The sequence below is a fragment of the Homo sapiens genome, chromosome 12 (genome assembly GCF_000001405.40).
Source record: "Homo sapiens chromosome 12, GRCh38.p14 Primary Assembly".
In the NCBI taxonomy this organism is placed as follows: Eukaryota; Metazoa; Chordata; class Mammalia; order Primates; family Hominidae; genus Homo; species Homo sapiens.
Window position 1 is genome coordinate 31,640,052 of NC_000012.12, and position 23,399 is coordinate 31,663,450.

The 23,399-nt window shown below is 44.3% G+C and overlaps 1 protein-coding gene and 1 long non-coding RNA gene across 7 annotated transcripts in view, besides 7 other annotated features; one reads left to right on the top strand and one right to left on the bottom strand.

The window, feature by feature from the left end:
- LOC124902913 (uncharacterized) overlaps positions 1–12,007 on the bottom strand; it is a 25,784-nt gene extending 13,777 nt beyond the window's left edge. The window contains exon 1 of the long non-coding RNA XR_007063269.1: positions 11,685–12,007. This is a non-coding gene — a long non-coding RNA (uncharacterized LOC124902913). The remainder of the gene's footprint in view (positions 1–11,684) is intronic.
- The window catches only part of ETFBKMT (electron transfer flavoprotein subunit beta lysine methyltransferase), a 25,955-nt gene continuing 9,664 nt past the window's right edge, over positions 7,109–23,399 (top strand). Inside the window, exons 1-2 of one of the 6 annotated variants that reach the window (NM_001135864.2) lie at positions 7,109–7,204; positions 21,790–22,216. In NM_001135864.2, the coding sequence (NP_001129336.1) occupies positions 21,903–22,216 (314 nt within the window). In that variant the 5' untranslated portion in view covers positions 7,109–7,204; positions 21,790–21,902. Of the gene's footprint in view, positions 7,205–19,151; positions 19,312–19,636; positions 20,933–21,789; positions 22,217–23,399 lie in introns of those variants that run through there. The other 5 variants (NM_173802.4, XM_024448925.2, XM_024448924.2 and 2 more) reach the window with 5 other exon arrangements.
- Positions 12,997–13,056: a silencer, noted in NCBI's record as "silent region_4326". NCBI's record gives its function as "represses an Ori minimal core promoter by ATAC-STARR-seq in GM12878 lymphoblastoid cells {active_cell/tissue: GM12878}" and the evidence as "EXISTENCE:reporter gene assay evidence [ECO:0000049][PMID:35858748]".
- Positions 13,187–13,396: an enhancer, noted in NCBI's record as "active region_6170". NCBI's record gives its function as "activates an Ori minimal core promoter by ATAC-STARR-seq in GM12878 lymphoblastoid cells {active_cell/tissue: GM12878}" and the evidence as "EXISTENCE:reporter gene assay evidence [ECO:0000049][PMID:35858748]".
- Positions 18,995–19,304: a silencer, noted in NCBI's record as "silent region_4327". NCBI's record gives its function as "represses an Ori minimal core promoter by ATAC-STARR-seq in GM12878 lymphoblastoid cells {active_cell/tissue: GM12878}" and the evidence as "EXISTENCE:reporter gene assay evidence [ECO:0000049][PMID:35858748]".
- Positions 18,995–19,584: a biological region, named in NCBI's record as "H3K27ac hESC enhancer GRCh37_chr12:31811991-31812492".
- Positions 19,006–19,507: an enhancer, noted in NCBI's record as "H3K27ac hESC enhancer chr12:31811991-31812492 (GRCh37/hg19 assembly coordinates)". NCBI's record gives its function as "activates a minimal SCP1, AML or CMV promoter by ChIP-STARR-seq in primed H9 embryonic stem cells {active_cell/tissue: H9 hESC(primed)}" and the evidence as "EXISTENCE:reporter gene assay evidence [ECO:0000049][PMID:30033119]".
- Positions 19,425–19,584: an enhancer, noted in NCBI's record as "active region_6171". NCBI's record gives its function as "activates an Ori minimal core promoter by ATAC-STARR-seq in GM12878 lymphoblastoid cells {active_cell/tissue: GM12878}" and the evidence as "EXISTENCE:reporter gene assay evidence [ECO:0000049][PMID:35858748]".
- Positions 22,032–22,151: an enhancer, noted in NCBI's record as "active region_6172". NCBI's record gives its function as "activates an Ori minimal core promoter by ATAC-STARR-seq in GM12878 lymphoblastoid cells {active_cell/tissue: GM12878}" and the evidence as "EXISTENCE:reporter gene assay evidence [ECO:0000049][PMID:35858748]".

Sequence of the window (23,399 nt, forward strand, 5' to 3'; positions counted from 1 at the left end):
ATGTTGAATTACAAGTAGAAGCCCTGGCAAAACACACAGCTGCAGCTTTTATTTATTTATTTTTGAGAGGGAGTCTCGCTCTGTCACCCAGGTTGAAAAGCAGTGGTGCCATCTCGGCTCACTGCAAACTCCACCTCCCAGGTTAGCCTTAGCCTCCTGAGTCGCTGGAACAACAAGCGTGCGCCACCACACCTAGCCAATTTTTGTTTTTTTAGTAGAGACAGGTTTTCACCACGTTGGCCAGGCTGGTCTCTAACTCCTGAACTCAAGTGATCCACCTGCCTCAACCTCCCAAAGTGCTGGGATTATAGGTGTGAGCCACCAGGCTCAGCCCACTGTAGCTTTCAATAATACTCATCAGGGCCAGCAGCGGTGGCTCACGCCTGTAATCCCAGCACTTTGGGAGGCCGAGGTGGGCGGATCACGAGGTCAGGAGATCAAGACCATCCTGGCTAACATGGTGAAACCCCGTCTCTACTAAAAATACAAAAAATTAGCCAGGCATGGTGGCGGGCGCCTGTAGTCCCAGCTACTCGGGAGGCTGAGGCAGGAGAATGGTGTGAACCTGGGAGGCAGAGCTTGCAGTGGGCTGAGACCACACCACTGCACTCCAGCCTGGGGAACAGAGCGAGACTCCGTCTCAAAAAAAAAAAAATACTTACCAGGCTATCACCCTTCTGACAGAAGAGACTTACCAAATAAGACAAATGGCTCTACAAAACTGTATGGCTTTAGACATTTTAACTGCAGCCCAAGGGGGAATTTTTGCCCTGATCAAAACTGAATGTTGTATTTATATTCCTGAGTATTCCCATAATGTATCCCAGGCTATGAGTTCCTTGGAAACTCACATTACAGCATTAATTCTCTGTCTCAAGGCCCCATAATGGCCTGGTTTGTTAGCTATCCAGTACTTGGAAAGCATTTCTTTTCAGCATGCTTGGTATTGTAATACTCGTTATTATAAATTGCTGTGCTTTTTACTTCTGTTGCACTTGTGTAGGTTTGCAAGATAAAATAGCTCAGCAACTTCTTTGCCCATCTATTTACTCATTTCATATTTTACCTTTATAGGAACTATTGGGACATTGCTCAAGCAAGGAACCACCTGGCTCCCTGAGGAGGCTCACTGCATGCTTTCGTGAAAGGACCCTGTCCCAGCAATCGATGTCCACTATCAGCAGGAAGAAGTTACAGAAGAATGACCTTCACCCTCCTCTCCTCTTAAAATTAAGGGCTCTCTTAGCTGGGCATAGTGGCGCATGCTTGTAATCCCAGATACTTGGGAGGATGAGGCACGAGAATCACTTGAGCCCGGGAAGCAGAGGCTGCAGTGAGCCAAGATCGCACCACCACACTCTAGCCTGGGTGGCAGAGCGAGACCCTGTCTCAAAAAAACAAAACAAAACAAAAAGATTAAGGGTTCCCTCAAAATTAGTGGGGGTAATGTTAGGGAACCAGGAGCCTAGGAGGGCCAGAGTAGCACCATTTTAAGTTCAGCTCCATCTTGAGAAATAGTAAAGCCCATTCTCTGCTGGTCACGACCCACATTCATGGGCTGTTTACAGTGGAAGAAACAGCCTAAAGATACCTACAAGGACACACTCCTACTACAGCCAAGAGTCCAGATGTCCAATACCCATAACAATCTCTGTTTTCAAGATAATAATAGTTTTGCTTTGATGTATCCACACACTAGAATGTCAAGGCCAGTTTTCTTTAAATCAGTAGTCATACATTCTGTCATGCTGTCTGCTCACCCACACGTGGACACAGCTTAGCTTAGCCTTTATATAGACAAGATCTCTAGAGAAGAAAAACAAAAAACAAAGTCGAGGCGTTCCTCCTCTTGCTTTCTGAGGATGCCCTACTCTAACAGTGTAGTTTCTAATAACGTTGCTTCTTTCACTGCACTCTGTGACTCGTTTTGAAGTCCCTCCTGCTCGAGATCCAAGAACGTTCTCTTGGGGTCTGGATAGAGATCCCTTTTCCGGTAACACGATCATTGAAGGTATAGAGGTCCCGGACTGCTGGGAATATTTTATATTTCCTTTTGAAGACTCTCCATCCTGCCCTTATTTCTTAAAGCTGAGTTAATTCCATTGCACATAATTTATTTCTCCCTCCTGTATACATATCTTCCTTTTGTCCTCTTCTGTCGCTTTTAATACCGTGTGGAGGTGCAAAACCCCTTCTAGTAATGGCTGGGGAAAAAAAGTCATGTAAGTCCCAGGGTGAAATAAGACTTTCTAAAAAAAATACTTGAGTCTCAACCTCTAAAACCTTTCAAGTACCCCGATATTTCTTTTCATCTTGTCACAAATTTTTATATTCCTCTTCATCCTGTTAAAATCTCCCCTGTTTTTCTTAAATTACCACCTTTCAAGGTAAATAAAACGCTGCTGGTTCTCTTTTTATCAGTGTGCCATTTAATTTTCGGTTATTACAATAGAATGGTCTTAAATTTGTCTTTAAACTGAAAACATGCAACTCTCAAGTGATAACACGGCTTAGAGAACCTTTTGTTTGAGAGCCTGGAAACTAAGTGTCTCCATTACAATGTTTCCGACTCCCAAAATAACCAAGAGATGAGGTATCCTTGTGCCACCTTTATAAAACTCTTGGTTGTTACGTCTCATGCAGAGACACAATATTTGTTGATAGTTTAAATAATAATTATTATTAATATTAATAGAACATTTTCTATGTTCCAGGCCTTGCTTTAAGAAGTTTATAGGCATTGACTCATTTAATCCTCACCACAACCTATGAAGTAGGTACTTCTTGTTCTCTCATTTTTCAATTTTATTTTGTTTTGTACTTTTAGTAGAGATGGGGTGTCGCCATGTTGCCCAGGCTGGTCTCAAACTCTTGAGCTCAAGCAATACACCCACCTCGGCCTCCCAAAGTGCTGGGATTACAGGTGTGAGCCACCGTGCCCGGCCTTGTTCTCTCATCTTATAGACAAATTCACCGAAGCACAGAGAGGTTACGGCACTTAATCAAGCTCACAGAGCTAGTAAGTGGTGGAACAGATTGACTTTAGAGCCACTCTGTTCTGCCCTTTAACAGAATTCATTCTGTGACATATGGATTATTTTGAGTCTCATTAGGCATATTTTGAAACTACTCAGATTCATATTAAAACTCCATGAAGGTAGGACCGAAGTCTTATTCATTTTTGTTTCTCCCACAAATTTTTTTTTTTTTTTCTGAGATGGAGTCTCACTCTGTTGCCCAGGCTGGAGTGCAGTGGCGTGATCTCAGCTCACTGCAACCTCTGCCTCCCGGGTTCAAGCAATTCTCCTGCCTCAGCCTCCTGAGTAGCTGGGACTACAGGCACACACCACCACACAGGGCTAATTTTTGTTTTTCGTTTTTGTTTGTTTGAGACGGACTCTTGTTCTGTCACCCAGGCTGGAGTGCAGTGGTGCGATCTCAGCTCACTGTAAACTCTGCCTCCTGGGTTCAAGCGATTCTCCTGCCTCAGCCTCCCATGTAGCTGGGATTACAGGGGCATGCCACCACGCCCAGCTAATTTTTGTATTTTTAGTAGAGACAGGGTTTCACCATTTTGGCCAGCCTGGTCTTGAACTGCTGACCTCAAGTGATCCATCCACCTCGGCCTCCCAAAGTGCTGGGATTATAAGCGTGAGCCACCGCACCTGGACAATTTTTATATTTTTTCTAGTAGAGACGGAGTTTCATCATGTTGGCCAGGCTGGTTTCGAACTCCTGACCTCAAGTGATCCGCCTGCGTCGGCCTCCCAAAGTGCTGAGATTACAGGCATGAGACACCGCACCTGGCCCCCTAGCAGGTTCTTGATAGTTGCTGACAATGGAGCTAGCTGGGGATTCTTTCCTCCGATGGTCATTATGCATTATAGACAAGGTTCCTGTGTTCTCATTATGCCCCCAAGGAACATGCTTCAGCAAACGTGAAAAATGCCAGAGCCATACATTTTTTTTTTTTTTTTTTTGAGACAGGGTCTCCCTCTGTCACCCAGCCTGGAGTGCAGTGGCATGATCACAGCTCACTGCACATTCATCTGCCCAAGCCCAAGTGAGCCTCACACCTCAGCCCCCAAGTAGGTGGGATTACAGGTGCACTCCACCACACCCGGCTAATTTTTGTATTTTTTTGTAGAGTTGGGGTTTCGCTATGTTGCCCAGGCTAGCCTCAAACTCCTGGGCTCAAGCAATCCTCCCGCCTCGGCTTCCCAAACTGCTGAGATTATAGGCGTGCACCACCATGCCCAGCCCAGAGCCATACATGTTGGTTTAACCAAAAGAGCTGAAGGGTGGCTTGGAGCACTGGCATAAATGATGTCCCTTTAGCTGTCAGGGCTGACCGGGAGGGAAACAACCCTGCAACCCGTAATGGTCCTTGGCTTGATCAAAGAGCACCTTGTACTTGAGGTACCCTCTTTGTCCTGGTCCCATCCATTCACCAGCAGCCTTCACACATCTGTCCTAAAACCTTAGATTTTACCTATCTGTTGCTGCACATACAGCGGTGCCAGGGGACACTGTCGACCACGCCCGGTTAATTTTTTGTATTTTTAGTAGAGATGGGGTTTCATCATGTTGGCCAGGCTGTTCTCAAACTCCTGACCCCAGGTGATCCACCTCCTTCAGCCTCCCAAAGTGTTCGGATTACAGGCGTGAGACACCACGCCCGGGCTCAAATGTTCATCTCTTTCAGAAATACCCTCAGAGGAACACCCAGAGGAATGTTTGACTAACTGTCTGAACACATTGCAACCCAGTCAAGCTGACACATAGAATTAACCCTCACAGAACCAATAAGGAAGTGGAAGAAAGTGCTTCTTTTGCTACAGGATGAGGTGGGAGCAGGAATTGTGAGAGGCCCCCTGGCCACCATCTCCAGTGTATTGGGTTCAGCTCATTTCCTCCCCAGCACTGCTACTAATGTTCAAGGCATTATTTGTTGAAGCCAGGTGCCGTCTAAGCAGGCTGTCGAGGGAGAGCAATTTTTTTTTTGAGACAGGATCTCTTTCTGTTGCCCAGGCTGGAGTGCAGTGACATGATCTTGGCTCACCGCAGCCTCGACCTCCCAAGTAGCTGGAACCACAAGTGATCCTCAGGTAATCAGGTGATTCTTTCACCTCAGCCTCTTGAGTAGCTGGGACCACAAGTGTGTGCCACCACACCTGGCTAATTTTCTTTCTTTTTAATAGAGATAGGGTCACCCTATGTGGCCCAGGCTGGTCTCAAACTCCTGGGCTCAAGTGATCCTCTTGCCTTAGGATCCCGAAGTGCTGGACTACAGGCGTGAGCCACTGTGGCTGGCCTTTTTTTTTTTTTTTTTTTTTTTTAAGGAGAGCAATTTTGGTAACTAGAGACTGCTGGGAAAGAGAATGTGGGCGATCAGAGAGTGCAAGGGACATAGAAGGAAGTCTTTAGAACTTGGATGGGAGTCCAAGTTCTGCCACTTCCAGGCCTTTGTGCATTCAGCCAGTTACTTAAGCTGTTTGGCCTCAGTGTCCATATATTGCATTAACACCGGGAATAACAATTTTTACCTTACAAGATTGTTAAGGGAATTAAATGAGATCATGTGAATAAAGAGCCTGCCATAGAGTTGCACTCAATAAACACTATTTTACTTCCCCCTGAATTCCCTACCTGTACTTTTGGCACATGAAAAAATAATTAGGTAGAAATAGGCTGGAGTCCAGCAGGGGAAGACAAACTAATCTTTCCTGGACTACATTTTTACATGGATAAAAATTTTTGCCACTGCAACTCTAAGCAGCACTCAGTATCTTTGAGATATTAGTGATGTTTTTCTCTGATGTTCTTTTAGCTCCTGGGGTCACTGTGGGCTAAGAGAGGTGGAGACAGGCTTTGTGCAACGCTGCCTTGTCCCCCTGCTCAGAGGCAGATGTGACTTAATAGGAAGAATCCTAGAGGCCTTCAGATGCTGTAGAGAAGATTCATGTTTGATGAGAGAGAGCCTGGATGACATGAAAGTTGTTGTTTTTTTCCAGAGAAAAGGAAAGAGACATAACATTCCCCCTACCCGCCCAAGCATCAGCTTCCTCTTCTGAACTGGTTGCTGTGGAGATTAAAAACTTTGTACACAGCACATTGCACACAGGCGATACGCGGTTGTTAGAATCTCATTACCATTGACAATGGCTAATTATAGATGTGAACATCTAAATGTGTCTGAAGGGGACAGAGAAGTTTGGTAAGGATAACTTACAATCTTTCCATCTTTTGTTTTGTTTTGTTTTGTTTTGTTGTGTTTTAGAGAGGGTCTTGCAATGTCGCCCAGGCTGGAGTGCAGTGGCATGATCTTGGCTCACTGCAGCCTCCACCTCCCGGGTTCAAATAATTTTCAAATCTCTGCCTCCAAAGTAGCTGGGATTACAGGCACATGACACCACGCCCAGCTCATTTTTGTATTTTTAGTAGAGATGGGGTTTCACCATGTTGGCCAGGCTGGTCTTGACCTCCTGATGTCACGTGGTCTGCCCACCCTGTCCTCCCAAAGTGCTGGGATTACAGGCGTGAGCCACTTCGCCCAGCCTTTTTTTGTTTCGTTTTGTTTCTTAGAGACAGCATCTTGCTCTGTCCTTCAAGCTAAAGTGCAGTGGCTTGAACATGGCTACTGCAGCATCAACCTCCTGGGCTCAGGTGATCCTCCTGCCTCAGCCTCCTGAGTAGCTGGGATGACAGGTGTGCACCACCATGCTCAGCTAGTTCTTACAATTTTTGTAGAGACCAGGTTTCATTATGTTGCCCAGGCTGGAATTTTCGTATTTTTTGTCACAAAGCCTCGCTATGTTGCCCAGGCTGGTTTCAAACTCCTGGCTTCAAACAGTCCTCACACCTTAGCCTCCCTAAGGATCTTGTGCTGAGATTACAGGCATGATCCTCCATCTTTTTATATTGTGTAATTATAATGCAGAGTAGTTTGAGCTTGGTGATGAGAAAGCTTTCTTTTCGCCTTCCTGCCACTCATTGTTTGTATACTTTATTTTCAAAGGCCATTAACATGTCGACAGCCACTGAGCTGCTGTTTTTGTTTTATTGTTCCCTTGACCACACACCAACCAACCATGACTCCCAATTAATATTCTTAATGGAATCCAAGCCTCTAAGCCTCACAGTCCAGGCCCTCCACCAGCCTGCCTCACCCTATCCTCATTTCATCTCCCGCAACCTGGCTCCGGTGAGTGCTCTTCGTAGTCAGACTGGGCTGTTTATTTTCTGCAATGAACTTGTAAATCCCTGCCTTTGGCTCGTGCTTGAAATAGCTTCCTCTTTCTCATTACCGAGTCTACGTCCTGTGTTTAAGTGCAGCTCTGGAACCAGACGACATGTGTGTCATCCCAACTCTACTGCCAGCTATTTATGAGCCCTCAGGCAAGTTACTGAACCTTCCTGTGACTTCACTTCTTTACCTCTAAAACAGAGGTCATAATAGTATACCTACATCCTATGCTTATTTTGAAGCTTAAAGAGGTAATTTAGGGGCTGGGCGCGTGTAATCCCAGCACTTTGTGGGACTGAGGCGGGTGGATCACCTGAGGTCAGGAGTTCGAGATCAGCCTGGCCAACATGGCAAAACCCCGTCTCTACTAAAAATACAAAAATTAGCCAGGTGTGGTGGCAGGTGCCTGTAATCCCAGCTACTCGGGAAGCTGGGACAGGAGAATCACGTGAACCCGGGAGGCGAAGGTTGCAGTGAGCCAAGATCACGCCACTGCACTCCAGCCTTGGTGACAGAGGGAGACTCCATCTCAAAACAAAACCAAAGAAAACAAACAAACAAAAAAAAAACAAGTGTTGATAAGAATGTGGAGAAATTGGAACCTTCATAAATTGCTGGTGAGAATGTAAAATTGTGCAGTCACTTTGGAAGACAGTCTGGCAATTCCTAAATAATTTGAGCATAGAGTTACTATATCACCCAGCACTTCCATTCCTAGGTATATACCCAAGTGAATTGAAAGCATATGTCTCCACATAAATGTGTACATTAATGTTTATAGTGGCATTATTCATAATAGCCAGAAAGTGGAAACCACCTTAATGTTTATCACAGATGAATGGAGAAACACAATATAGTACTGAATATTCACATAATGGAATATTATTTAGCCACAAAAGGAATGTAGTACAATTGTCCTTCAGTATCCACAGGGGATTCGTTTCAGGACCCCTGAGGATATCAAAATCCATGGATGCTTGAGTTCCTTATATAAAATGATGTAGTATTTGCATAATTACTTTAAATCATCTGTAGATTATAATGTTGAATATGATGTAAATAGTTTTTTTTTTTTTTTTTTTGAGATGGAGTCTCGCTCTTTTGCCCAGGCTGGAGTGCAATGGCACCATCTCAGTTGACTGCAACCTCCGCCTCCCAGGTTCAAGCGATTCTCCTGCCTCAGCCTCCTGAGTAGCCGGGATTATAGGCATGGACCACCATGCCCAGCTAATTTTTATATTTTTAGTAGAGATGGGTTTCTTTTTTTTTTTTTTTTTTTTTTTTGAGACGGAGTCTCGCTGTCTCCCAGGCTGGAGTTCAGTGGCGCAATCTCGGCTCACTGCAAGCTCTGCCTCCCGGGTTCTAGCCATTCTCCTGCCTCAGCCTCCCAGGTAGCTGGGGCTACAGGGGCCCACCACCACGCCTGGCTAAGTTTTTGTATTTTTAGTAGAGACAGGGTTTCACCATGTTAGCCAGGATGGTCTCGATCTCCTGACCTTGTGATCTGCCCACCTTGGCCTCCCAAAGTGCTGGGATTACAGGCGTGAGCCACCGCGCCCAGCCCTGTGACGGGGTTTCACCATGTTGGTCAGGCTGGTCCTGAACTCCTGACCTTGTGATCCGCCTGCCTCAGCCTCCCAAAGTGCTGGGATTACAGGCATGAGCCACCACGCCCGACCAATAGTTGTATTTTTTTTGGAGACGGAGTCTCGCTTTGTCACCTAGGCTGGAGTGCAGTGGCGTGCAATTGGCTCATGCCAACCTCTGCCTCAGCCTCCCAAGTAGCTGGGATTACAGGCGCCCACCACCATGCCGGGCTAATGTTTTGTATTTTAGTAGAGACGGGGTTTCACCGTGTTGCCCAGGCTGGAGATAGTTGTTATATTTTTAGGAAATAATGACAAGAAAAAAAAGTCTATACATGCTGTTCAGTACAGATACAAATTTTTTTCCCCAATTTTTTCAATCTGCGGTTGGTTGAATCTACGGATGTGAAACCTACAGATACAGAGGTCTGACTGTACTTATTCATTCTACAACATGAATGAAGAAAACATTATGCTCAATGAAAGAGTCAGTCACAAAGGACTGCATATGATTCCACTCACAGGCATCCCTCCTTTTACTGTGCTTGGCTTTATTGTGCCTCACAGATATTGTGAATTTTACAAATTGAACGTTTGTGGTACCCCTGTGTCGGGCTAGTCTATTGGTGCCATTTTTTTTTCAAACAGAGTGTGCTTACTTCGTGTTTCTGTGTCACATTTTGGTAATCCTCACAGTATTTAAATTTTTTTCATTAATATTAAAAGTAATGGCCAAAACAACAATTACTTTTGCACCAACCTAATATGATTATCTGTTCTGGTGATCTGTGATCATAGATCTTTGATGTTTCTATTGTAATTGTTTTGGAGCACCCATGAAAGATGGTGAACTTAATGGATAAATGTGTGTGTTCTTTTCCTTTTCTTTTTTTTTTTTGAGACAGAATCTCTCTCCGTAGCGAAGTACAATGGCATGATCTCAGCTTACTGCAACCTCCACCTCCCAAGTTCAAGCAATTCTCCTGCCTCAGCCCCCTGAGTAGCTGGGATTACAGGCACGTACCACCACACCCAGCTAATTTATGTATTTTTAGTAGAGGTGGGGTTTTGCCATATTGGCCAGGTTGGTCTCGAACTCCTGGCCTCAAGTGATCCACCTGCCTCCCAAAGTGCTGGGATTACAGGCATGAGCCACTGCACTCAGCCCTGCTGTCAGAGGCCTTTGTACCAGAGCAACTCCATCTCGAATAGGGGCTGGTTAACCTGAGGCTGAAACCTGCTGGGCTACATTTCCAGTAAGTTAAGGTATTCTTAGTCACAGAATGAGATAGGAGGTCGCTGTAAAGACTTTGCTGATCAAACAGGTTGCAGTAAGGAAGCCAACCAAAACCCACCAAAACCAAGATGGCAACGAGAGTGATCTCCAGTCGTCCTCACTGCTACACTCCCACCAGTGCCATGACAGTTTACAAATGCTGTGGCAACATCAGGAAGTTACCCTATATAGTCTCAAAGGGGAGGCATAAATAATCCACCCGTTGTTTAGCATATATCATCAAGAAATAACCATAAAAAATGGGCAACAAGCAACCCTTGGGGCTGCTCTGTCTTTGGAGTAGCCATTCTTTTATTTCTTTACTTTCTTAAACTTGCTTTCACTTTATGGACTTGCCCTGATTTCTTTCTTGCGTGAGATCCAAGAACCCTCTCTTGGGATCTGAATCGTGATCCCTTTCCAGTAACACTAAGAGGGTTTTGAGTGGAAGATTGAAATGACCTGACCTTTTTTTTTTTTTTTAAAGAATCACTCTGGCTTTTCTGTTGAGAAGAGACCAAAGGAAGCAAGGAGGGATAAGGAGGTTAGTTCAAAGACCTTTGCAATGAAAGAGTTAAGGACGTGCCACCCCCAAATATGCCAGTTTGGCATACTGATTATTTCAAGCTGAAGGTACTTGAGAGACTGTCATTGCAGGAAGAGCTAGCTCACTGTTTCACAGTGGACAGGGTCTATGCAAACCTGCGGCCAAGGAAGCTGAGAGGTGGAAGAAAGAGGCTGACACATCCAGTTTCTTAGGAAGAAACGTTTACTAGGGACTTAGAACAGAAGCCATGTCTGTATCTCAGGAAGCAGTGAGACAAGATGGTGGATCCCCGCACCATTACCCCTCAAACCCAGGGCTTATATACCCCAGGAGAGGAGTGATTCAGAAGGGACGTGGAGAACAACTTAAGTATGATAACATCAAGGCCACTTGACCTAAGGGCAGGATTTACAGTCAGTACGTGCTCTTACACAAGGAACAATAGATAAACTGGAAGTCTTACAAGACTTCCTGGAACTGGCGTTAATCAGAAACCAGCATGGATTAGCATCCAGGATGGAGTTGCTTTGCCCTCCCCACTGACGTGTCCATTCCTACCTTTAGGAAGCCATAAAAATTCCTTTGAGAAAGATGCCTTCCCTTTTTTTTTTTTTCTTTTTTGAGACGGAGTCTTGCTCTGTCGTCCAGGCTGGAGTGCAGTGGCGCAATCTCGGCTCACTGCAACCTCCACCTCCCGGGTTGCAGTGAGGCAACCCGGGTTCAAGCAATTCTCTAGCCTCAGCCTCCCGAATAGCAGGGATTACAGGTGCGTGCCACCACGCATGGCTAATTTTTGTATTTTTAGTAGAGACGGGGTTTTACCACGTTGGCCAGGCTGGTCTGGAACTCCTGACCTCAGGTGTGATCTAGCCGCCTCCGCCTCCCAAAGTGCTGAGATTACAGACATGGGCCACCGCGCCCGGCCGATGCCTTCCTTTAGTAGAAAGAGAAAATAACCCTTATCTCCAGAGACTGGGAATTGATGCTACAATGGACCTATACAGATAAACTTACTAAACGAACACTTACCTTTCACTAGCTTTGCACTTCACTGATACAGGAGTTTAGAAGAAATCACTTAGGCAGATAGTAGGAGTATGGGAATCCTCAGTAAGGCTTTTCTTTTTCATGAAAAGCAGCCCCAAATCATTTTCTAACAAAGAGCATTCTGTAAAGCCGAGCTGCAGACACAGACAAGCAAGCTGGGAGCTTGCACGAGTGAACGCAGGGAGGAACTTCGGAGTACACATGTTCAAATTGGAGGCTCCATCTTCCCTTCCCTTTGTCAGCCACGTGTACTGTAAGGAGCAGACAAGATGGTGTTGATCAACTAGAAAGTCTATTTCCATAATAAGATTAGGGTGGGGTAACCAGGCTTCCCCTGCGCACAGTGTAAACGTCATACCTGATCAAACCAATCTATGAGCCCTATGTAAATCAGACACCGTCTCCTCAGACCTGACTATAAACTTCGGCGCATCCACTGCCGGCTGGTCCTTTCCACTCGCAGATCCATTTCTCTATAGAGAAAGCTGTTTCTCTTTCCCTTCTCTTCTGCCTATTAAACCTCTGCTCCTACACTCCTTGTGTGTGTCAGTGTCCTAAATTTTCCTGGCGCCTGACGACAAACCCCGGGTTTATACCGCAGACAGTGGTATGGTCCCTTCATCACCATATATCTCCTAGTGATTCCCCCGCAATTTACTGCCCCTAGTCCAAATCCCTTTGTCTTATCATTTCTTCATAAATTTATCATTTCTTTGTCCAAAAGGTATAAAAGCTTTCTGTTCTGGCCATTTTCTTCAGGTCGTCGCCCCTTTCATCTTGTGAGAGTCTTCATGTGCAAGTAAAAATTAGTAACACTTGTATGCTTTTCTGTTAATCTGGTTTATGTCCATTTAATTCTTAGACTTAGCTTTAGACGATCCCAAGGGAGTAGAGGAGAATTTATCCTCCCATCAGCAATAATCCAGGCTAGAGATGATGGTGATTTATATTAGAGGAAAGCAATGCAGGTGGTGAAAAGTGGTCAGATTCTGCATAGACAGTGTTTTGGATTTGCTAGTGGGTTAGTTGTGGAGTGTGCACGTGTGTGTGAGAGAAAGATTGAGAGAGAATGTGTTATAGATTATACCAAATCTTTCTTAAGCTTTAAGCCTGAACTATTTATGACCAATGATAAGTATTTCCATCATATCTTACAACTAAAGAAATGTGCCAGGCCGGTCGCGGTGGCTCATGCCTGTAATCCCAGCACTTTGGGAGGCCGAGGCCGGCGGATTGCCTGAGCTCAGGAGTTCGGAACCAGCCTGGGCAACACGGTGAAATCTCGTCTGTACTAAAATACAAAAAATCAGCCGGCCTTGGCGGCATGCGCCTGTAGTCCCAGCTACTCAGGAGCCTGAGGCAGGAGAATCGCTTGAACCCAGGAGGCAGAGGTTGCAGTGAGCTGAGATCGTGCCACTGCACTCCAGCCTGGGCTATGCAGCGAGACTCCGTCTCAAAAAAAAAAAAAAAAAAGGTACCAGTGTGTAGTAACATTGTGGGTGAGAATCTTTGCTCTTTATACATAACTGTTTAAGTTTCAGTTTTGTTTTTGCTTTTACTGTTTTAGCTGAAGCACACTTGGCCGATGTTAAGCTAAATTATCAGTAGATGGCACCACAGTCTTAGTTAGCTGAAGATTTCTGGGTTTTGCAGGGAGTGAGGATTCTAGTGTCAGTTGTCGGATGTTTAGGTGTGACTCAGTGACCTATGCTTAAAAGTTTGCCCGGTTACTAACTGAGGGAGCAACAAGTACAAACTGCAGATAGGGAATTGAAAAAAGGAAACACACAAATTTACACAGACACGGTGCCCATAGATTTGTTGCAAGGGCAGTTTGGTAGAGAGAAGCTAGAAGGAAGCTGAAGCTCCAGAAAACCCAAAACTACAAACTTCCTTCAAAAGTCTAGGGAGAGGCCGGGTGCGGTGGCTCAGGCCTGTAATCCCAGCACTTTGGGAGGCCGAAGTGGGTGGATCACTTGAGGCCAGAAGTTTGAGACCAGCCTGGCCAACATGGCGAAACCTGTCTCTACTGAAAATACAAAAAATTAGCTGGGTGTGGTGGCGGGTGCCTGTAATCCCAGCTATTGGGGAGGCTGAGGTGGGAGAATCACTTGAACCTGGGAGGCAGAGGTTGCAGTGAGCTGAGATAGCGCTACTGCACTCCATCCTGGGTGACAGAGTGAAACTCTGTCTCAAAAAAAATAAAGAAGACAAATAATAGCAAGTGTTGGCTAGGATGTGGAGCAATTGGAGATCTCATACAATGATGGTGGAAATGTAAAATGACACAACTATTTTGTTTTATTTTATTTCTGAGACAGAGCCTCACCCTGTCGTCCAGGCTGGAGTGTGGTTGCACGATCTCAGCTCACTGCAACCTCCACCTCCCGGGTTCAAGTGATTCTTCTGTCTCAGCCTCCTGAGTAACTGGGATTACAGGCACACGCCACCATGTCCGACTAATTTTTGTATTTTTAGTAGAGACACGGTTTCACCATGTTGGCCAGGCTGTTCTTGAACTCCTGACCTCAGGTGATCCTCCCACCTTGGCCTCCCAAAGTGCTGGGATTACAGGCATGAGCCATGGTGCCCAGCAGGCACAACCATTTTAGAAAAAGTTTGCAGTTAATCATACACCTACCATATGATCTAGCCATTGCACTCCTAGGTATTTATGCAAAGGAAAGAAAGCCTAAGTCTGTACAAAGACTTGTACACAAATGTTCAAAACAGCTTTATTTGTAATAGTAAAAGAAAGAAAGAACTCAAATGTTCATCAACATGTAAATGGATAAACATGGGAGCTTATCTATATGTACAATGAAACACTACTTAGCAATATAAAGGAATGAATTATTGATGCAGGAAACATGGATGAATAAAAATAATTACTAATGAAAGAAATAAGACAAAAACCGTATAAACTCTATACAATTGCATGCATATGAAAATCTAGAAAAAGCAAAGTAATCTGTAGCGACAGAAAGCCAAGAATGGTTGTGGTAGAAGGGAGAAGGACTGGACGGGTGCCGTGGCTCATGCCTGTAAACCCAGCACTTCGGGAGGCTGAGGTGGGCAGATCACTTGAGGTCAGGAATTAGAGACCAGCCTGGCTAACATGGTGAAACGCTGTCTCTACTAAAAATATAAAAATTAGCCAGGTGTGGTGGTTCACGCCTGTAATCCCAGGTACTCGGGAGGCTGAGGCATGAGAATTGCTTGAACCCGGGAGGAGAAGGTTGCAGTGAGCCAAGATCGCGCCACTGCACTCCAGCCTGGGCGACAGAGTGAGACTCTGTCTCATGAAACAAACAAACAAACAAAAAAACAGAACAAAAAGATAAAAAAAAAAAAGTAGGGGAAGAACTGGAGGGAGGAATTACACAGGAGCACTGAATATATTCACTATCTTGATTTTGGTGATGGTTTCATGAGTATATACTGTAAAGGAACATAAAAACTCTCAAAACCCCCAAACTCATTATGCCAAAGGGAAAATTAAGCCTGCTTACTTCACAACCTTGTGTCAAAGCGCTATACATTAGCCAGATCCCTACAAAAGGAAAAGGTCTCAGGCATTTCCAGATAACTGCCCTCACAAATCGCGCCTAAGAAAATTCTTTCCTGGCTCCTAAACCTTTCAAGGTGTATAATAAATCCTCCCATAAACAAGGACATGTCAACTGTCACTTTAAGTCTGTGACTTAAGTCTAACTCCTTGTCCAGGAACCTAAAGTCTGGTAAATTTCACACCGACTGTGTCAATTATAAGCCTTATCTTCCCAAGTGCAAAAACAAAGATGACATCCATTATTCTTCTACCTATCCTGAGAAGTCTGAATAATGAATTCTTCCTTTACTCCCTATTTTCGAATGTTTGCCTTATCTCATGTATAGCATAGATGTACTGGGCACTAATTAAAATCTCACAAGAATGTCATCATTTGCTTCACGCCTATCTCCCTTTTCCTGCATGTCTTTTCTCTTAAAGCAATGTGTAAATACCGAGTCTCCTGAAGCCTTTCCCAAGGAGCACGGGCCACAGACTCATGTTTCTGTGACTCAGGGTTTTCCTGGGCACACCTTTAAGCTCTGGCTCAATAAACCTGGATTGATTGAGATTCTTGCCTCAGTCTCTCATTTGGGTTGACAATACATATGTCAGGACATTAGACTGTACTCTGTAAACATGCAAAGTTGCCAATGTGAAGTCAAATATACCTCAATAAAGCTGTTAAAAGTAAATTTTTTAAATGAGATACTGATATGTAATGTTTGTTATTTTACTCATGTATTTATTTGCCTTTTCTTTCATTTAACAGAGTTTATTGAGTGTCTGTGCCAGAGGCTAAAAGAGGTATGACATGGTCTGCTTTCAAGTCTAGGCAGTGACGGTTCTGCTTGATATGCTTGTTGTACATGCCCATAGGAAGCTAAGAAAATAGGAAGATTAGCGTGTAGGCTGGCATGTTGGGGAAGGCTTTTCAGAGGACCTTAACGTTGAACTGAGTTCTGAAGGACGAGTAGGTGGTTTGGACAGTGAGGAGCGGTTAGCAGTGGCAGCTTTCTGTCTTCAACAAGGCCTAGGGATGAGAGAACAAGGCGCTGTGGGAGGAAAACAAATTGCAGCAGAGAGGGGAGAAGAGGAGTGTTTTGAAAAGAGGCAGGATAGGTTAAGTCGGGACTGATCAGCATGGGCCAGGAAAGCTGTGGTCAGGAATCCGGCTGTACCATTGAAGGTCTGGGGAGCTAGAGCAGGTTTTAAGCAAGGGAGAACACAGATAGCCTGCTGATGAACAGCACAGGCCAATCGAGTGGAGCAAGAGAAACCATCTTGCCCTTAGATTGGCTAGCATTACGGTTAAACGAGTGTATTTAATTAGTCTCCAAGTCCTGCTAATAGCTCATCCTTAATCATTTTCAAATGTTCCAATTCTTTCCATCCCTATCGCAGTTACCTTAGTTCTGTCTCCATTATTGTTTGCTTGGATTACCATAATATCCTCCAATGGCGGTTTCCTTGTCTTCAGTCTTGCCCCGCCTTTAACTCTTTGCTACCTGCAGCATAAAACATTTTTCTAAAATTCAAGTTTGATCCTCTCACCTTTAACTGAAAACCTGATCTGCTGCTCATCAACACTATCTCTGTGTTTCTAATAATGATCATCACTGTAATAGCATACTTAGCAAGCATTTACTACATGCCAGGAACTGGGCTAAACAAGATGTGCTTTTATCTTATTAAATCTTCCTAAAACATTATTACTATCATCACTATTTTACAGATGAAGAAACTGATTATTAAGAAGGTTTAGCAATGTGTCCAAGATCATACAGTTAATAAGTGTAATTGAATAACTTGTTGAAAAACCAAAAAACCCTTAAAGACAAAGTTGTGTAGGGAATAGAATTTTTTACTTGCACCTGCAAGAGGGACCGATTATTAGAGAACTGGCTTTGTAAACAAAAATGTAGGGCAGGTATTTAAAGTAAAAAAATCACAAGGATAGACAACAGCTCAAATTGTTATCAGTTCACAAGTCTGCTTGGATGTATGTGGGTCAATTTTGTTAAAATCTAGACGGTCCTTTCTATTAAGACATTACAATGCATCAACACCAAACAACAGAAAAGAAAATCCATATATCCCTGTTTTTCATGCTTTGTCTGGGACTAAAGGAAGGGCAGGCCTTTTCTAGACTATGGAATCTAAGTTTCAGAAAAAAATCATTTAAGCTGCAATATAAAGAATAATCTTGGCCGGTCGCAGTGGCTCACACCTGTAATCCCAACACTTTGGGAGGCCGAGGTGGGCGGATCACGAGGTCAAAAGTTGGGCACCAGCCTGACCAACATGGTGAAACCCCGTCTCTACTAAAAACACAAAAATTAGCTGGGTGTGGTGGTGTGCGCCTATAATCCCAGCTACTGGGGAAGCTGAGGCAGGAGAATGGCTTGAACCCAGGAGGCAGAGGTTACAATGAGCCGAGATCATGCCACTGCACTCCAGCCTGGGCGACAGAGCAAGACTTCATCTCAAAAAAAAAAAAAAAAAAAAAAGAATAGTTTTAAGGAAGGCAGAATTAGAGATAGACAAGTTATAGGAACCCAGGCAAGCCATTATAATGCCAAACTAAGGCAATGGCAGGAGGGATAGAAAGAACTGGACCAGTTTTAAATCCATTATGGGACAGGAAAGGCATGTTGCAGTCCCTTCAGCCAAGTTGCAAGTTTTGAATGAGTTATCCAAACATTATTAAATGCATCTTCAGTGATGACTACCAAGCTTTTTTCCAGGAACCAACCCTCTTTTGTAAAAATGTTAGGTTAGCCTGTTCGTTCTGGTTTCTTGGGCAGTGACTGGGATGTTCAAACTATTAATTGGGATAGAACACCGAAGCTGGTTAAAAACAATATTTCTTATAGAAATTGATCTTGAACATGGATCAAGGTTCACTGCTAGCAGGAGAATCGGAGAGTGTGTGGTAATGAAAAGTTATAGTTGAGAAAACAAGCGTTTACATCAGCAACTAATTAAGAAAAAAGCAGCTCATAAGTGGATGAATGCAGTTCATAAACACATTATATCAGTTATTACACAGGAAATCTAAGGCAGAATACTGTGAAATGCAAGGTGTATAGCTTATCAACAAGAATGTAGCAAATACACCATTCAACTAAGAAAGAAATGATAAGGCTGCATCTGGGGCTGTTGACTGGAAGCACAAAGTTTCCTTTCCTTGTAGTAGTTCCTAAAGATTCCAGTTTACATGGAAAGACAGAAAGCTGTCACACCCATGGCAGGAGCGCAGAACCCAAGCGACAAATTCTAATTTTGAACAGGCAGGTGCCAGTGCATTTCTCAAACTGCAAACTAAAATGCAGAAACACGATTTTCCTGTTTCTTAGTTTTGGACCGTTTTCCCCCCTCTAGCACGCCAGAGCAGGTTTTAATTGTTGTCAGGTCAGATGGTGAGTTAACTTTGAGTGTTGAGTTGAGGGGCCAGTGGGATGTGGGTCCAGTTGAAAGGTGGATATATGTAGATCCAGACTCGAGTGATATAGGCTGCAAATAAATTGCTAGTGAATTTATGAATTATTAGAAAAGAAAGGACATTCATTATGATTTAATCGCAGTTGAATGTAGGCAGCACAGAGGGCTTATACTGTGTCTTTTTTTTTTTTTTTTTTTAAATATACGGTGTCTATTTTGCTCACCACTCTATGCCCGGTGCCTGGAAGTGCGACTGGCACATAGTAGGTGTTGCATAGTTTCAGAATGAACTTTTTAGGAATCAAAATTCTACAAACATTGCACACAGATTTAACGTTCCCTTATTTTCCAGGTGAGGTCAGGGCGCCCTTTGGTTTCGCGCTTCTGTCCCTTTAAGAAAGTGGAGGAGAAAGAAAGCGCTGCTGGGAAAAAGGGCGGGGCCGCGAGGGGCCGCCGTCCGTCCCGCCCCCTGCCGGGCCGCGGCGCTCTGCTAGAGCGTGGCTCAGTTTTGGTAGCGGGACCCCGGAAATGTAAAGCATGAGCGGGAACAGTCGCCAGGGCGAGTGACAGGCGAGCCCTATGCTTTACTTCCGAGGGCGGTGTCAGCAAAGCTAGGTAAGGAGACAGGGAGGACGGTGCCTGCCCCTTTAAGATCGACTCCACCCCGCCTCTGGAGGAAAATGACGCCGCCGTCTACCCGTTGTGGAACGTAACTCTTTTCATCCCATCAGCTCTCCTTCTCATTAAGAGAAATACCAAGTGGTCACCACAGTCACATACTTCATAACCCATGCCTCATCGGTGCTGGGACGGGAGAGGGAAGCGCCGATCTAAATGACATGGGGTCCAAATCCCAAATAATCTCTATTTGCTCTGCGTTACCTTTAAACTTAGGCTGCGTTGTGTGATTCAAGTGACAGCCTAGTACTGCTTAACAATTAGTCTAGTGGGATACCAGGCCCTGAGAGACCCCTACGATCCCAGGACACTGATGTGGGGTAACTAACACCCACTGGAAGTCTACGCTGAGTTCACAGGCTATGTATGACCTGACATGCATTTTGACCTGCCCTGTGTTTTGATATTTGAATGAGTTGCTGATGTTTACAAGCCGAAGCTGGCCGGGCGTGGTGGCTCGCGCCTGTAATCCCAGCACTTTGGGAGGTCGAGGCAGGAGGATCGCTTCAGGTCAGGAGTTCCAGACCAGTCTGGCCAACATGGCGAAACCTCGTCTCTACTAAAAAAAAAAAAAAAAAAAAAAATACAAAAATTAGCCGGGCGTGGTGGCACGCCCCTGTAATCCCAGGACTCGGGAGGCTGAGGTAGGAGAATCGCTTGAACCTGGGAGTCGGAGGTTGCAGTGAGCCGAGATCACGCCACTGCACTCCAGCCTGGGCAACAGAGACTCTGTCTCAAAAAAAAAAAAAAAAAAAAAAAAAAAGGTGGAAGCTAATGTGTCAATATCTAGATTTTTTTGATGATTTTGAGAAATCGGAGGATCTGGCAGCATGTCCTGCCTAGCCTTTTTGAACTGTTTGAAAACAGTCTCCAGCTTGCCACAGCCCCTCTGTTATTTTACAGCCAGCCTGCATCACTCATTTATGATGTCCAGCCCCTTGTGGGGATTTGGATTTTTGACCCCTAAATACTTTAGTGGATTTAAGACCATTTAAAACATTTATGCAGAAGAGATCCGAGGTCCCCAAACAACTGGGTGTATAAGTTGTGTTTAAGTTGTTCCTCATTCTCATTTATTCTAATCCGGGTGTTTTTCTATATATATATATTTTTAAACAAATCTTAGTGATCAATTGCACAGGTGTTTTTCTGTTGGAGCAAATCTTTTCAGTTTAGGCTTGGTAAAATCGAACCATCAGATACTTTTACAGAAAGAGATTTAGGAGTTGATGTTCTTTTATTACAATTAAATGCATACAGTATTTTTAAAGGAAAAAACCTGAATCTTGATTGCATTGTTTTATGATACAACAATCTTTAATGAAATAGAGTAGTCAATATAATTTGTATTAATATATCTCTGCCCACAGACAATTATAAATTCATTAACCCCCAGAACTCTTGGCTAGACTTCATAAAGGCAAAAACTGTGTTTGCCCTGTTAACTGCTTTATCCCACCACTAGAATATAAGCTTCCTGAAGACAGAAGACTTCTGTTATTTTGTTCACAGTTACCAAGCATGCCTACTTTGTTAAATTTATGAAAGAACTTTAAAGGTACAGTTGGCCCACAATATAACAATATAGCAATATAAAATTACAACAATAAAAATAACACAAAAATAGTGTAACAACTACTTATATAGCATTTACGTTGTATTAAGTATTATGAGTCATCCAGAGATGATTTAAAGTAAAGTATACCACAGCATATGCCTAGTTTATATACAAATATGATGCCATTTTATATAAGGGACTTGAGTATCCTCTGATTGTGGTATCCTGGAAGCAGGGGATACCGGAACCAATCACTTGAGGATACTGAAGGATGACTGTATGGCTGATTTCCTGTAAGAGGCATTTTCTTGAGGATTCTTTCAAAATCAAATGCTTGTATATTTGTTGTGTTAAATTACTAAAAGGATTCTCTTGTGAAAAGTATCATTTAAAAAGATTGGATTTTCCCAATTGATGCACCAAAGCTTTCATCTGAAATGAACTTGCACATGTGAATCATCAGATACAGTAATATACACTGTAATATTTTATTTCTTTTTTTTTTTTATGAGACGGAGTTTTGCTCTTGTTGCCCAGGCTGGAATGCAATGGTGCGATCTCGGCACACTGCAACCTCCGCCTCCCGGGTTCAAGCAATTCTCAAGTAGTGAGATTACAGGTACCCGCCACCACGCCTGGCTAATTTTTTGTATTTTTAGTAGAGACAGGGTTTCACCATGATGGCCACACTGGTCTTGAACACCTGACCTCGTGATCCACCCGCCTTGGCCTCCCAAAGTGCAGGGATTACAGGCGTGAGCCACCGCGCCCGGCCAATATTTTCTTATTATGTAATAGGATCTAGAAATGTTGCTCTTCCTCAGAATTCTCAGTATTACTTTTCTTTTTTTTTTCAGAGTCAGAGGTTCCGGTTGAGATCAAGTTGGGAGACACACCCTTGTTCATTCTCCTTGAGAAGCAGCTATTATCAACAGAACATTGACAGAACCTGTGTTTGGGGAAAGGACTGATGGCTTTGAGTCTAGGTTGGAAAGCACACAGGAACCACTGTGGTCTCCTCTTGCAGGCTCTGCGAAGCAGTGGTCTTCTCTTGTTTCCCTGTGGCCAGTGTCCCTGGAGAGGAGCTGGAAGCTTTTTGGACCCTGAGATAAAGGCTTTCCTGGAGGAGAACACTGAAGTCACCAGCAGTGGTAGCCTCACCCCTGAAATCCAGTTGCGGCTTTTGACCCCCAGATGCAAATTCTGGTGGGAGAGAGCTGACCTGTGGCCCCACAGTGATCCTTACTGGGCAATCTACTGGCCAGGAGGCCAAGCCCTGTCTAGGTACTACCCTAATGAAACCTTTAAGGCGCTACAGATCTTTGCTGTTTTCAGTTCCCTCCAACCTCTACAAAAAACCAGAGCAATGCTAGGCGTGGTGGCTCATGCCTGTAGTCTCAGTACTTTGGGAGGCTGAGGCTGTAAGCTGTGATCCTGCCACTGCACTCTCGCCTGGCCTGTCTCAAAAACAAAACAGAAACCGGCAAAACTCAGTCTTGTTGTTTTCTTTTTTCTTTCTTTCTTTTTTTTTTTTTTTTTTGGTAGAGACAGGATCTTGCTATGTTGTCCAGGCTGGTCTTAAACATCTGGCCTCCTCAACCTCCCCAAGTGCTGGTATTACAGACATGAGCCTCTGAGCCTAGCCTCAGGTTAGCCATATTTTTTGTTGCCTTGTTGCGTAATTTCCCATTCTAACCCAAGCTTATCAAGCTATTTTCCCAAGTAACTGTCTCCCCAAGAGAAATCCTAGAGTCAGCTGTCAAGACCCTGGATAGCTATAAGTGATCCAGAAATCTCACCTGTTAGGAGGTTCATAGTTCATAGCGCATGACCATTGCAGAGTTCCTAGATGGAAGCTAAACACCCAGTCCTTTCGCTCTCCTTTAATTCAGTGAATGTCGCTCCATAAACCTCACATTCCTTCCAGAGTTGCTTATTTTCCCATAAAACAGGAGCTGTGAGTGAGTGGGCTGTTCAAAGTTTCCCTCTTCTGTTGGGTGCAGTGCCTGTAATCCCAGTGCTTTAGGAAGCCAGTGCAGGAGGACAGCTTGAAGTCAAGAGTTTGAGACCAGCGTAGGCAACATAGTGATACCCCTATCTCTACAAAAAAAAATTTTTTTTTTTTTTGAGACAGAGTCTCACTCTGTCACCCAGGCTGGAGTGCAGTGGTGTGATCTCGGCTCACTGCAAGCCCCGCCTCCCGGGTTCACGCCATTCTCCTGCCTCACCCTCCTGAGTAGCTGGGACTACAGGCTCATGCCACCATGCCCGGCTAATTTTTGTATTTTTAGTAGAGATGGGGTTTCACCATGTTGATCAGGCTGGTCTCGAACTTCTGACCTCGTGATCCGCCCTCCTCGGCCTCCCAAAGTGCTGGGATTACAGGCGTGAGCCACCGCGCCTGGCTTAATTTTGTATTTTTAGTAGAGACAGGGTTTCACCATGTTGACCAGGCTGGTCTCGAACC